At 40.5% G+C, this 14,397-nt stretch overlaps 1 protein-coding gene across 1 annotated transcript in view, besides 3 other annotated features; it reads right to left on the minus strand.

Annotated features, from left to right (window-relative positions):
* ARHGAP18 (Rho GTPase activating protein 18) overlaps window positions 1–7,086 on the minus strand; it is a 134,046-nt gene extending 126,960 nt beyond the window's left edge. The window contains exon 1 of the mRNA NM_033515.3: window positions 6,933–7,086. Within this exon, the coding sequence (NP_277050.2) occupies window positions 6,933–7,045 (113 nt within the window). The 5' untranslated portion in view covers window positions 7,046–7,086. The remainder of the gene's footprint in view (window positions 1–6,932) is intronic.
* Window positions 1,524–1,603: an enhancer, noted in NCBI's record as "active region_25047". NCBI's record gives its function as "activates an Ori minimal core promoter by ATAC-STARR-seq in GM12878 lymphoblastoid cells {active_cell/tissue: GM12878}" and the evidence as "EXISTENCE:reporter gene assay evidence [ECO:0000049][PMID:35858748]".
* Window positions 1,624–1,683: an enhancer, noted in NCBI's record as "active region_25048". NCBI's record gives its function as "activates an Ori minimal core promoter by ATAC-STARR-seq in GM12878 lymphoblastoid cells {active_cell/tissue: GM12878}" and the evidence as "EXISTENCE:reporter gene assay evidence [ECO:0000049][PMID:35858748]".
* Window positions 7,360–7,439: a silencer, noted in NCBI's record as "silent region_17534". NCBI's record gives its function as "represses an Ori minimal core promoter by ATAC-STARR-seq in GM12878 lymphoblastoid cells {active_cell/tissue: GM12878}" and the evidence as "EXISTENCE:reporter gene assay evidence [ECO:0000049][PMID:35858748]".

Consider the following 14,397-nt stretch of genomic DNA (forward strand, 5'->3'; position numbering starts at 1 on the left):
GAACTATCCCTGTGGCCAGGGACAGCCTTGGCCTCTAGGGTGCTGGGTTCTTTTTCTAATTTGTGAGACAGATGTTTACAGCCAGTGGGGAATTAAAACAGAAGAGTGAAACAGATAATTTGTTCTGGCAATGAGTCCAATTATCAAAAACGAGTTAAGCCTAACACCCATGCAGTCCAGTAGCAATCATGTGCATCATTAAATGCATCAATTGTTACGAGTCTTTATTGCTTCAACACTTGTAGAAGTATGATAAATAATAACAGAACTCAAAATATTAGAAAATTCATAAAATATGAAAGCAAGCCCCACTTAGAAGAGACAAGGCAGCACAGTGCAATCGTACAATGCAGAAGTAATAAATGTGCCGTGGACAACAAAGCAAATGTTCAACAAGTTTCTCTAGGAAGGTGTGGGTGGGGATGGTTCTGATAATCTCTAAATCCTTATATTCGAAAGGCATAAACTTAATTAAAAGTTCTATGAAGATAATATAACTTTAATAGGCCCACAAAAATCACAGGTCTCGTCAATGAGAGGAATCAAAAGGCAAATATCACATGTCTGTGAATGAACCTAAGACTTCCCCAGTTGGACACCGGGTGCAACCTCTAATAATTCAAGAAGAAACTATGGATAGGGTTTTTAAACCACAGTGAAGAAAATGCCTTTACAAAGGACTCTTATGTCATGAAATTGAAGAAGAGATTGATCTGGAAAACAATTATCCCCATGGACAGGTTTAAATCCATTTAGTCACTAAATTCTATGAAATTAGAATGAGGAAATACGCTTTAGAAGCTAAGGTTAGAAAAAATAAAATTTAAATATTACACAATTGCATTATAAAAACTCATTACCATCCCTTTTTTTCAACAACAAAAAAATATATATATATGATCAGGTAATAATACACTAATTCAGAATGAAGAAACTTTTTAAATGGTATACTACATAGGTTTTTAAAATCCTGTGAAGATTCATGTAAAAACACTGAACTAATCAAGACAGCCAGCCATGTTCTTACTTTAATGTTTATCTCAAAAAGATATTTCTCAAAACTGAGCTTCAGGCCAGGCGTGAGGGCTCACACCTATAATCCTAGCACTCTGGGAGGGCGAGGCAGGCGGATCACTTGAGGTCAGGAGTTCAAGACCAGCCTGGCCAACATGGTGAAACCCCATCTTCACTAAATATACAAAAATTAGCCAGGCATGGTAGCAGGCACCTGTAATCCCAGCTACTGGGGAGCCTGAGGCATGAGAATCGCTTGAACCTGGGAGGTGGAGGCTGCAGTGTGCCAAGATGACCCCACTGCACTCCAACCTGGGTGACACAGCGAGACTCAGTATCTGAAAACAAAAAACAAACAAAAAAAAACTGAGCTTCATGTCTCGCTCAACTTACCCCAGCCCCCTTATGCCCCTCTGCAAGTCCTCCCTATCTAAATTAATGATCACTTTAACATTACAAGTTTCTTAGGGCAAAAACCTTGAATCTTCAGGTATTCTCATTTGTCCATCTCCTACAGGCCCTAATGTCAAAAGATTCCACTGCTCACCCCGTTCATTACTAAAACAACTGAAACCCTGGCCCAAACCACCACTGCCTTAACCTATTAAGCAGTACCACTGCTTCTACACTCTATAATCAATATAACAGCCAGAGGGACCTTTTAAATGTGCTCTCTTCCTCCACTGCTCAAAACCCACTCCCTCAATGGCTTCCCATCTTACTTTCAGCAAAAACTCAAGTCCTCAAATGTTCTATAAGGTTATCAACTCCCACCTTGCTTTCTTCTTCCTCCCTCCTCCTTATCCTGACCCCTGCAGTCATGCAGGGCTCTTTGCTCTCTGGGTGCTTGGTTTCAGACTTACTCTATCTAGGCTTATGGCTTCTACACTCTCTACCCACTATCTGCCTTAAAAACTCTTCTTCTAATTCTTGCCCCCAGATATTTTGGGGCTCACCTGTCACCTGCTCAGGTCTTTATTTTCCCCTCCAGGCTACCCTCCCTGCACCCAGATGTTTGTCTGGTTTATTTCCCCCCATTACAACCCCAGTATTTAAACAATTGCCTGACACACAGTAAGAGAGAGCTCTTATATGTGGAATGACTGAATGATTATGCTTGCAGAACCAAGGAATGGGTGAGACATGAACAAGTCAAGAACTGAGATAAGCTTATAAAGATGATAGTCCTCTTCCATTTGGCATGCTGGGCAGTAGTAGTTCTTAAAGCAGAGGAAGGAAGCATGGAGACAGGAGTGAGTCCAGCTGCCAAAAGAGGATCCACCCACATTCTATCTTGCCATAGAGTCAATATTTGCAGACCTCAATGCCCATCAATACCCCCCAAGAAAGGCCTGGTATAGGCAATTGTTACCAGTTCAAATCATAAATGGTGCTATGGATCAGGATGATATTTCCAAGGTCTTTCAAACTTCAAAGGCCTAAACTTTTACATTATGGTTCATTCTCAAATATGTCATTTTTTAAGCATATGGATAATGCCCATGTTTCTTAACACATGACAAAATAATATTCAGAAAAACGCTTCTGAAACAAGGGAGAATATTCTATATCCTGCAAAACTCAATCCTTTCTTTCCTTTTCTTTACCTAGTATTAAGGAAAGTAGCAGCTAGCTACAAACCAGACACTCTTCTATGGGCTTGACAGAGGTCATCCCACTCAGTTGTCTTAATCAGGTGAGTAATATTATGAAGTTCAATTTATGGGTAGAGAGATAACTCCTCCAAGGTCACACTGCTAATGAATGAGAGAGCTGGGATATGACCCCAGACAGGTTGGCCCCAGAACCCAGGGTTTCTGGGTTTATGTCACCCCTGTGTAGTGCCTCTTGTTTCTGCCTACCCAATACCAATGGCAAGTTGGGTCAACAAGACCTTACATGATGAATGCCATACATTTATTCAGAGAAGGCATAAAAATATCTCACTCATCAGTCCATTCAGTTAGCTAAGGAATTAAAAGGCCCAATAAAAAAGGTTACTTGACATTCATATTAAAATATTAGCAAAAAATATGCAAAGCAAACAACCATTTCTCTTAAAATGGGAAGGTAAGAGAGAACAGTAAGAATAGACAAAACACAATATTCTTCGAAAAAATTCTTTTCAAAACTAAATATTAAGAAGCCTGCTTGAAAAACAAGTAAACAAAGTCTTATAAATATAGCTACTCATAAAAAGTGGTTTCCTTTGGAAACATTCAACTGTGTACAAGTCGGCCATGACAACTAATGTTAACATATTTCTTCAAATCCTCATGTTTTGAGGAGGAAACATACAAAAGAAAAACAGGATTCTATAAAGGGAGAGGCTCTAACCAGGAGTGGGAGGAATTCCTTAATCTGACATTCAATGACTGTTTTCTGATAAAGAGGGATAATGGAATGGAGAAAATTTAGCTAACAAATTACTTCCAAAAATATTAATTCCCTACTATCTCAGCTTTTCAAAAGACCAAATGGTAATAAAAAAGGACATGGAGCCGGGTGCAGTGGCTCATGCCTGTAATCTCGGCACTTTGGGAGGATGAGGTGGGCAGATCATCTGAGGTCAGGAGTTCGAGACCAGCCTGGTCAACATGGTGAAACCCCGTCTCTACTAAAAATACAAAAATTAGCCAGGGGTGGTGGCACTCGCCTGTAATCCCAGCTGCTTGGGAGGCTGAAGCAGGAGAATCACTTGAGCCTGGAGACGGAGGTTGCAGTGAGCCCAGATCGTGCCACGGCATTCCAGCCTGGGTGACAGAGTAAGACTCTGTCTCAAAAAAAAAAAAAAAAAAAAAAGACTTGGTATGGCTAGGCTAAAAATCAAACACTTTCAGGCTGGGCGCAGTGGCTCATGCCTGTAATCCCAGCACTTTGGGGGGCCAAGGTGGGCAGATCACCTGAAGTCGGGAGTTCGAGACCAGCCTGACCAACATGGAGAAACCCCGACTCCACTAAAAAAAAAAAATACAAAATTAGCCAGGCGTGGTGGTGCATGCCTGTGGTCCCAGCTACTATAGAGGCTGAGGCAGGAGAATAGCTTGAACCTGGGAGGCAGAGGTTGTGGTGAGCCAAGAGTGCGCCATTGTGCTCCAGCCTGAGCAACAAGAACAAAACTCCATCTCGAAAAAAAAAAGGAAACAATTTTCAATAAATACGCTAAGTCATACACATATGTATAAATGGCATTATAAAGACATGAATTCATCTCATGAACTAAATATTGGATTAAATATTTCAAAGAACATATTACTTACAGACAAAATCTTGTGATAAGAAAAGTTATACTTCCGTGCTATCTTCTATAATTTTTAAATGGGTAGGAGGAAATGCAGAATCTAATTTAGCTTTTATTTTTTATTTATTTATTTATTTTTTGAGACAGGGTCTCACTCCCTCACCCAGGCTGGAGTGCAGTGGCGTGATCTCAGCTCACTGCAATCTCTGCTCCACCAGCCTCAAGTGATCCTCACACTTCAGCCTCCTGAGTAGCTGGGACCACGGGCATGCACTACCATTTCTAGTTTGTTTGTGGTTTCTTGTTTTTTTTTTTTTTTTTGTATTTTTGGTAGAGCTGTGGGGGCGGGGGTCTTTTTTTTGCCCAGGCTGGTCTCTAACTCCTGAGCTCAAGCAATCCACCCACCTCAGCTTCCCAAAGTGCTGAGATGACAGGTGTGAGCCATCACACCCAGCCTAATGTAGCCTTTTTAAGAGTTTTGTTTTGTTTTTACTTTTTGGAGAACTTCTTTAAATAGGCATCAACCATCAACCTTGCACCTTGGAGCAGCTTCCCAGGGCTTAAAACAACACCTGACCAACCCAGCCAAAGCCAAAGCCAAAGTCCAGTTCACCGCCCCGAAACCACTATCACCATTCTTAGGTGGTCACCGAGGACCCCATCCCACCTTCAAATCCTCCTTCCTTCTATCCATCCCCTCCCCCATAGCAATTACAGTATCTCAATCCTTTCAGGCTAAACAGGGTATCTCCCAAAACAACAACAAGTTTATCTGATTCGTTAGCCCTTAAGGGTAAAAGCCATTGAAAACTAGCCCTACTCCCTCCTTCCTCCCTGCCCTCAAACCAGGCTCCCATCTTCTCCGGTCAATATCAGGAACGATCCCTAGAACTAATTCAGTGGTGGGAAGTTGGGTCTGGTATGGGCAGGCTACGTGACAGCCAGCAAAGGAGCTCACCTGGAGCTGTGGCCCCACACAGGGCACTTGCCGTGTGGGCAGCTGCCCACCCTGCCACCTTAGTGCCTCTTGGTTCTGCTTCAGCCTAGGCAGAGAATGATCTGATCCTCTCTTATTCTCTCAACCCACTCAAGTATGGGCCACCCACACTGCAAACACAGAATAATGAGTCTCCAGAACTGGAGATGCAGCCCCAGACAAAGGCCTAGAACTCCAGACCTTCCAAAAACTTAACTAATCCCTGGGGTTTGAGTCCTACGTGAAAATGAGAGGTTAGGACTCAGTCCTTAAGGTCCTTTCCATTCTCACAATCAAGATCCAAGATTCAGCTCAGGTCCTCAGGCCATTCAGCCTAAAGTCGGAGAATGTCCTGAGCTTGTATAATTTTGGCAATTTTGACTGACATGTGGAATCCAAGTTATGGCTGGGTATGGGGTTGGTGTTGCAGGCTGCTTTACTGCTTAATGATTACTAATACATTACAGAAAAATGGATGAAAACACTTCAAGATCTCTTGATTTAATGATTTAACATTAAGTCATTTAAAATGATGGAAAATGAAATGGTAACACAGCTAAGGCACAAGCACCAAATCTTTTTTATCTTTGGAAATGAATTCATTCAATGAAATACATACTGTGGATGCTATGTGAGAAACAGTTCCCGTCAGCTGGGAGTCTAACACTGAGTATTACAGCCATTCCTTTGATTTTTCTCCCTCCCTCATATTTGGAGATTTTAAAACAAATGAAAGGCAGCATTATTTCAGCTTAAGGCACAGGCATAAGTCACATAAGAACAAAGAAGGTTTTATTATCACATTAAGCATTGAGGAGGAAATGTGCTTACCGATAACTAATTTAGTGTTCTAGGCTATTAGGTTAGTATTTGCTTCTTGCAATCTTCTAGGCCAATATTTACTATTTATATCTTGATGGAGGTAAAAATGTTCAGCTAGTGAGAAGGTCATTAAGGAGAGAAAGAAAAAAAAAAGCCCTTGGAAAATGGAACAAAGTACACAGATAGGGAGAAAGGTACCCTTTGCGCCTCAGTGGTCTATAGAACATTTGCCCTCTCTGCCTATAAAGTGATTTAACATTAACCACATTTCACTCCAGCAGCAGAGTGCTATCTCCTGACAAAAACTCCTTTTTGAAAGCCTGGGGGAAAAAAAATCCACATACACAAAAGAATGTGAAACATATTGCCACAGGCCAGTGTCTTGGGCTTTTTGCCTAAGAGGTTTGCTTTCAGCAAAGAGAGGGGGGAAAAAAAACACTCTAACAACAACAGCTTGTACAGTACAGTGAACAGCCTCCCTGCTTTTTGGCAGACTTTCCCAGCGAACAGTTCCAGTGGCAGTGCCTTGAGCCCATTCAAGAATTCCATTTCATAGGAAAGGAAGTGTTTCAGATAGACCTATTTGATCTTTCAGCATGTGCAAATGCACCTGCTAAATAGCTAGTCTGACAGCCCATATAGCCCTCTCCCCAGTTCCTTCTTCTCTGTCTTCACCAGTAATCATATGGGTTATTTCAGACTTGGACTAGGTGAGATGAAAAGTACATAAAAATCACGCCAAACGTTGCTACTGCTGCTGCACGAGCTCAGGCTCGACGTGCAGATGGAATTCCCTTCTCCCCACGCCAACTTCCCTGTCACTTTCTTCCTGGAGCAGGTAAGAGGGTTTTGTTTTGTTTTCAGCTTCCGAAGGCTTACCTCGAGGTGGCTTCCTCCCCTGCCTTTGCATGGCTGTTCCCGACGGTCTGGTCCTTGCCGCTGGGGTGGTAGGCTGTTAGTACCACTCCCTGGGAACTGGAGAGCCAGCTCATGGTGAGAGAAGGGACATACTTTCTGCGATCCTGACACAGAGAAGGGGAAAGAAGTTCCTGTCTCGCCTGGCAACTCGCTCATTAGCATTGGCCAGCTCCTCCCCGCAGGCTGGCGATTCACACGGGGAGGGGCGGGGTCTGTCCAGGGAAGGGCTTCCTGCCTCTCCAATTAGAAGCTGCAACTCACAGCATGGTTTCAACTCTGGACAATTGCACTCTGGGCGGCTTTGGTTAAAGGAGGCGAAGGGTGGAAGCGACGGGTTGCACCCACCCCCAAGTTAGTCTGATCAGATTAAACTGCCAGAACGTATATTCAACTCATCACTGTAACTACAAGCCGTCTTACTTAGGAAACCATGAGTTGCTGCCAAGGCTTTTTTTTTTCCCTCCCCAATTCCTCTATCTTATAATTTCTGCTACTTAATGTAACATGAGTAAAGGCATTTCTTAACCCCTTCATGTTCAGCGTTAAAATTAGCCATAGTAAAAAACAACGAACCCGCGGCAAAACTCTGCAATCCAGACGACGAGAAAGGCTTGATCCTTGTGTCCGGTTAAAAATGCCCTCATAAAAATTGTGTGTCCTGGAATGTCGTCGTCTTTCACATAAAGCCAATCTCAAATATACGTCTTGTTTTAGCAAAATATTTTTCAGCACCAAAAAGGGATAGACCTACCAATGCTCTGTTAAGTGTTATTGCTGAGAACAAGAGAAGTCCCTGCCATTTGTTGAGCACCTACTATATGCCAAGCTCTCATGGACGGGGGTTTCACATGTATTATCTCATTCCATTCAATTCTCTCTCTCTCACACACACACACACACCGTACAAGATAGGTATCACTATCATCTGTGTTATACATAACACAAGGAAAGTAAGGCTGAGGGACGAGTTAAGTAACTTCACTAAGATAACACAGTTGCTAGTGCCAGAAGCTGGATTTGAACAGAATTCTAGGCTACATTCCTTTTATTTTTCACCAGTATGCTCTTCTTTGTTTTGCAGATTAAGAAACAAGATCAAAATTATCATAAACACAAAAGACAGCTCTGTTCTTTCTCCCCATCTCCCCTCCAAAAAAAAAAATCACTTTTTTGGTTTGTTTTTGAATCAGGGTCTCACTCTGTCACCCAGGCTGGAGTACAGTGGTGATTGTAACTCACTGCAGCCTCAACCTCCCAGGCTCAAGAAATCCTCCAGCCTCAGCCTCCCCAATAGCTAAGACCACAGGCATGCACTACCACGCCCAGCTAATTTTTTTATGCTTTGTGGAGAGGGAGGGTCTCACTGTGTTGCCCAGGCTGGTCTTGAACTCCTGGGCTCAAGCAATCCTCTTGGCTCAAGCTCCCAAAGTATTGAGATTACAGGCATGAGCCACCACGCCTGGCTTCTACTCTGACATACCCAGTAGTCTGAAGGTTTTTTTAGATTTTTATGATTCATTCAACTCTCTAGAATTCCTCTTGAACAAGTTTCCAATTCCATCATTACATAAACTTATTGCTTATACCTTATCATTATTTAAAACAGTCATGAAAAATAATTTCTTCCTCCTTACATACTCTAGAAGTATCTGAAATTTATTTTTGAACCCTCTTTCTTATAATTTACAAAAGTCTTCCTTAAAAGGAATTTATATCTTCCTCCCTCCCCCCTGCACAACTGCTCAACCTTCCCATTTCCACTTCCATAGGACTTTACTTGCTGTCTCCTTTTTATCCCCATGACCTCAACCACCTCTGGATCCTATAATGCAGTCTTAGCTCCAATATTACAACAGCCCTTTTAGCTCATCTCCCTGTCACCTCCTTTAAATTGCTTTGACATTATGATCACACCCTGGCACTCATGATCCCTCTCCTCGCTTAAAAACCTTCATTGGCTCTCTATTGCTAACAGAGCCAGTTCCAGGCTTTTGAGCAGATCACTGGGCATTCCTGCTACCTTATACATACAAGTCTTTCCATCTGCTAGACACAATCTTTTCAGGTCCTACTATGATTCTTTTCTCTTCATCTGACAGCTAACTTAAATTTTGTACCTACTGAGCCTTCAGTAAACACTGAATGGAGGAAAACCTGAATGAATTGAAAGTATCCTTTAAAACTCTACTAAATTTTTTTTTTTTTTTGAGACAGAGTTTCGCTCTTGTTGCCCAGGCTGGAGTGCAATGGCATGATCTCGGCTCACCACAATCTCCACCTCCCAGGTTCAAGCGATTCTCCTGCCTCAGTCTCCCGAGTAGCTGGGATTACAGGCATGTGTCACGACGCTGGCTAATTTTGTATTTTTAGTAGAGACTGGGTTTCTCCATGTTGGTCAGGCTGGTCTTGAACTCCCGAACTCAGGTGATCCGCCCACCTCGGCCTCCCAAAGTGCTGGGATTACAGGCATGAGCCACCGCGCCCGGCCAACTCTACTAAATCTTTATATTAAAATTGGTAATATTAGATAAGCGGTTCCCATGCACATACCAGTGCTAACCTATGAGGAAATGTTCATCAGTTCAGGCAAAACAAAAACTATAAAGAGAGGGAGGCAAAGATTAAAGTAAATTAGAATATATGTGTTTTGTCTTTTCAGTGTCCTTACATGGAAAAAATGTTAATAACCAGCTCATCCACCCCTCCTTTTTTATGTAGCTACTCTGAAATGCAAACATATGGGAATCACTATCTTATACAATTATTGATGGTAATCACTACATTATCTTTTGGAAATTCTTTTCTGTTTCCCTCCCACCTTTTTCTCCCCCCTTACTTCCCTCTACCTCCCTTTTTATTATCTTCCTTTTTTTTCTAGTTTTCCTTCTTCCTTTGCTATGTCTTTAGCCTGTCAATGTCATCCATGCCCATTGGCAGCCACGGGCACTGCATCTCTCATGTGACAGTTTGCGATGAAGATTTTGTCCAGTTATAGCCAAAACAATTATTTAGTTATATTTTTGCCTAATTATGGTCTTTTCACTTGTTTAATAACAAATCACAATGTACAGGTTGAAATGTAATTGTTTTACAATGTCAAAATAATATTTGGGTTTGCAATATCCACCGTTTTTAATTTCTGTGAGGCAGAAAACCAAATGTGATACAAATTGATTTACATAGCTTAGTACATAAAATTTGAATCCTTCTAATTTAGCTCTCAAATACCTGAAAATCCTCTGAGCTTTTTCTCCTTTCCTCCCACCAAGCCCTGTTGCTACTGGTCGAAGGGTATTACCTATCACAGGCAGAGAGCTGGTAGGACTGTGGCCTGGTGTTCATAGCCTCAGATACATGCTCAAGTAGATTAAAAACAGTTTTCAGAATTTTCCCATGTCATCAAAGAAGCAAACCTAACTACCAGTGTGGTCTCTTAAAAAGCTGTTCTTTGGGAGGCCAAGGTAGGTGGATCACCTGAGGTCAGGAGCTCAGGACCAGCCTGGCCAACATGGTGAAACCCCGTCTCTACTAAAAAATACAAAAATTAGCCGGGTGGCGTGGTGGTGGGCACCTGTAATCCCAGCTACTCAGGAGGCTGAGACAGGAGAATTGCTTGAACCCAGGAGGCGGAGGTTGCAGTGAGCCGAGATCATACCACTGCACTCCAGCCTGGGAGACAGAGCGAGACTCCGTCTCAAAAAAAAAAAAAAAAAAGAAAAAGAAAAAAAGAAAAACAACGACAAAAACAAAAACAAAAAAAAAAACCTGTTCTTATTTCACACTGTAAACTGTACTAAGGTTTAGCTCATGTCCATCCCTTATACCATTATCGCTCTTTTGCAGAGACAAATATTATGAAAAAAAACAAAACACTTTTTTACTCCTTTCCGCAACCATTTTAAACACACACTGAGAACCTCATGACCTTGAAGATGTTAATATTCCCAGCTATTGAGTGCGTGCCAAACACTTTCCTGTTATGAAACATCTTAAAAAGTAATTAACAACATCAAGACAGTTTAAACATTCATTTCATTCATTCTGTTTAAATGAGGTGTACTAGATGACACAGGAAAGGAAAAGGAAGCGGTAATTTATGTACCCAAATAGGTTGTTAAAAATAGGGTGAAGATGGTACTGCAGTCTCTGACAATTTGACACCCATGTTCAAAAACAATGAAAAAATTTTTCTTCAGTTCAGTGCTAGTGGTAGCAAAGAGTTTATTAGCTGGTTTTTATATGTTGATTTAGGAGCCTATTTAGTATTAGAAGGAATTGTATTAGAAGAGTGCCATGCAATGGAATCAGCATATAATTTATCAAATTTTTCCTGAATTGGTCTAGTTCTCTTAAAAAAAAAAAAAGAATTAAAGGAGAATATGTACACACAATCTCTATATGATGATGAAAATCTACATAGGGACAAAAGCCATGTGAAAATGACCTTCCAAATGGTAAAATTAAACCCAATTTTCAATATTATAACAAGAACTTGAATAAATTAATCAACTGTGAAGTTAAAGTTTTACATAGGTGATAAAGGCTAGACATATGAAGCAGGATTGACTAATGAAGAGGAAGAGTTCTTAACATCCCTTACCTCATGTTTTATCAGGACCTCGTAGGAATAGTTCTTGTCAGCTTACAAAGTTAGCTACCTCTGTGCTAGGGTACTATGACTGAAAATTATTCCATATACAGAATCTCAAACTATTTCCTTGGGAATTACACTCATTGTTATTAATTCTGTCTCTGGAACAACAAGAAATAACCCTTTTCCCTTTCTCTGGACAGCTCTAAAAATGTCTACGTTATTCTCAAAGTTATTTTCTTAACTGCTCCTCCTGCGAGAAAATACTAGCCATGCTTGGGATAATTTGTAACTGCTATTGCCAGAGGCTAATTTAGGCTTTTCGGCAATCATTTAGAAAAGATGTTTCTTACAAATAGTTTATTACCAATAAATAACAATAGCTAATATTGAGTCCTTACTCTTCGCTAGACATGGTATACATGGTCTATCATTTAATCATCACAATCACCACCAGGGATAGAAATTGGAATTACGCTCACTTTAGAGATGAGGAATATGAGGTCATCCAGTTAGTAGGTGGCAGAACCAGGACATGTAAACCTGGGTTTATGTGACCTTGGAGCCTGAGCTCTTAAGCATTATAAAGGTTACAGCAGTCCTAGAATTGACATCATTTTATTTCTGAAAAGAATCATATGAATAACAAAGTTAAATAATCTACAGCAAACCTAAGGTCCTTAATCAAATGGAATATTGATATAAATACAATGCTATGGAGATTTACACTCAATTCTTTTCTGGTACTTTGAAACTTGTTTTTTTATGTCAAATTATTGGGGTAGTGTGGCATAATATATACACTAGTCTAAAAGGTCATCATCATTGTGCCATCATATCTAAAATTGTTTCCACTGATAGAAGTGAAAAAAAGTACTCTGATCACTATGATTATGAATTTTTTTTTCTTAAAAAAGCAGATTCGATGTGCGGAACCCAAAGCTTATAGAATTTGTTAGCTATGGAGCCTTGGATGAGGCCTTATGCAAGAGCCAGACTCTGAAGATTCAATCTCATTTAACTTCATGAGAAATCTGCCCTTCATATCAAAACTAGCCTAAGCTGGAAATTATCCAAGAAAAAGTGCCATGACCCTAAATTTTCTTTTGGTTTTCTCTTCATTGACAACTAGAATGGAGATACATGTTGCAAACACTTGCAACTGGAATGATGAAGTATATTCTGGAGGCTAATACGTACTGGAAAAGTAGAATTTTGTTTATGAATATAAGGTTCAATTTTAAAAGTCTACAATTGTATCAATATTAGATTTGTCAAATACAAAAATCCTTGTCCTGCAGTGGATTACAAATGATGCTTATCCCCTTGTTATGTAAAAGCAGCCACTGTGAGTGGGGAAGAATGGTGAAGCTGCAGATCTAAGGAAAGGGATGAGTTGATTCATGGCTTGGAGAAAAAGAAAAATGGAAGGAAGCCATGTTTCTTTTTTTTTTTTTTTTTTTTTTTTTGAGACGGAGTCTCTCGCTCTGTCGCCCAGGCTGGAGTGCAGTGGTGCAGTCTCAGCTCACTGCAACCTCCACCTCCCAGGTTCAAGTGATGCTCCTGCCTCAGCCTCCCGAGTAGCTGGGACTACAGGCATGTGCCACCACACCTGGCTAATTTTGTATTTTTAGTAGAGACAGGGTTTCGCTGTGTTGGCCAGGCTGGTCTCAAACTCCTGACCTCAGTTGATCCGGCTTCCTTGGCCTCCCAAAGTGCTGGGATTACAGGCGTGAGCCACCGCGCCCGGCCTTTTTTTATTAATGGTGGTTATCCACTCCAAAATGAAGGCAGTACTTCTAATGTTTTAAAGTAGTCCCTGGAGTATTATATTTTTTTATCAAAATACTTGATAAAACTGCACAAATGTCATTAAATAATAATTTCTATATTCTGAGCCCATTGGGGAATTTTCAGTCCTAGAAATGTCCTCAAAAATGGCAAAGCTTTCTGCTTCCCTTCTTGAAAGTAGAGGGGAAGAAATGGTGAAGCAAAGTTTTTCTGGAAAAAAGGAATCCTAGTACCCTACTTACAAATGGAGCATCTTAAATATTCACTAGTGTACTTGCTTTTCTGGTGAAGAGATGAGATTCACATATCATCATGGATCATTGCCCTCTACAAGTGCACAAATTAGTAGCAAGAACAACTATTTTAGGGCCATGTAAGTTATCAGTATCATCAGAACTTGGGCCTTAATTACTAATATCTTAAAATGGAGTATTAAGAAACAATAGAAAAATATTAGTATTCTCTTTTATGACAAAGCTTCATTAGTTTTCTAGAGTATATCTAGATATATGTGACTGTATTTCACAGAAAAGTTTTAGTTTTTCAGAGAAAAGGAAAACACACCCTCAAGATAATTTCAAAGAGGAATTTAATGGGCATGGGAGGTGGCTTATTTAACAGTAATTTTTTTCTGGTCAATTGAATGATTAAATATTTTCATTCTTAAAGATTCAGAACATGCAGAGTTGTTTTGCACAAGCAGCCACTGTGTCAGCAGAGATTGGAAACAAATACTAGCCAAAATTTTTTTAATGCCACAATTGAATGCTGGCACAGAAAGGGACAAATTCTTAATGTCTCTGCAAGCAAAAATCTCCAGAAACTGAATATAACTTTTTTTCAAATTTGCTTTTACTCAGATAAATGGGAAAGTAACAATTCCTGGCTTCCTGACATGACTTCAACTCCGGGCCTTGTGAAGATTCTAGATGAGTCAGCCTTGATCTGTGTCTAGCAGAGCAAGTTACACAAATTCTTCTTTTTTTTTTTTTTTGACACAGGGTCTCACTCTTGTCACCAAGCTGGAGTGCAGTGGCACAATCA

Source organism: Homo sapiens, chromosome 6 (assembly GCF_000001405.40).
Source record: "Homo sapiens chromosome 6, GRCh38.p14 Primary Assembly".
Taxonomy (NCBI): Eukaryota; Metazoa; Chordata; class Mammalia; order Primates; family Hominidae; genus Homo; species Homo sapiens.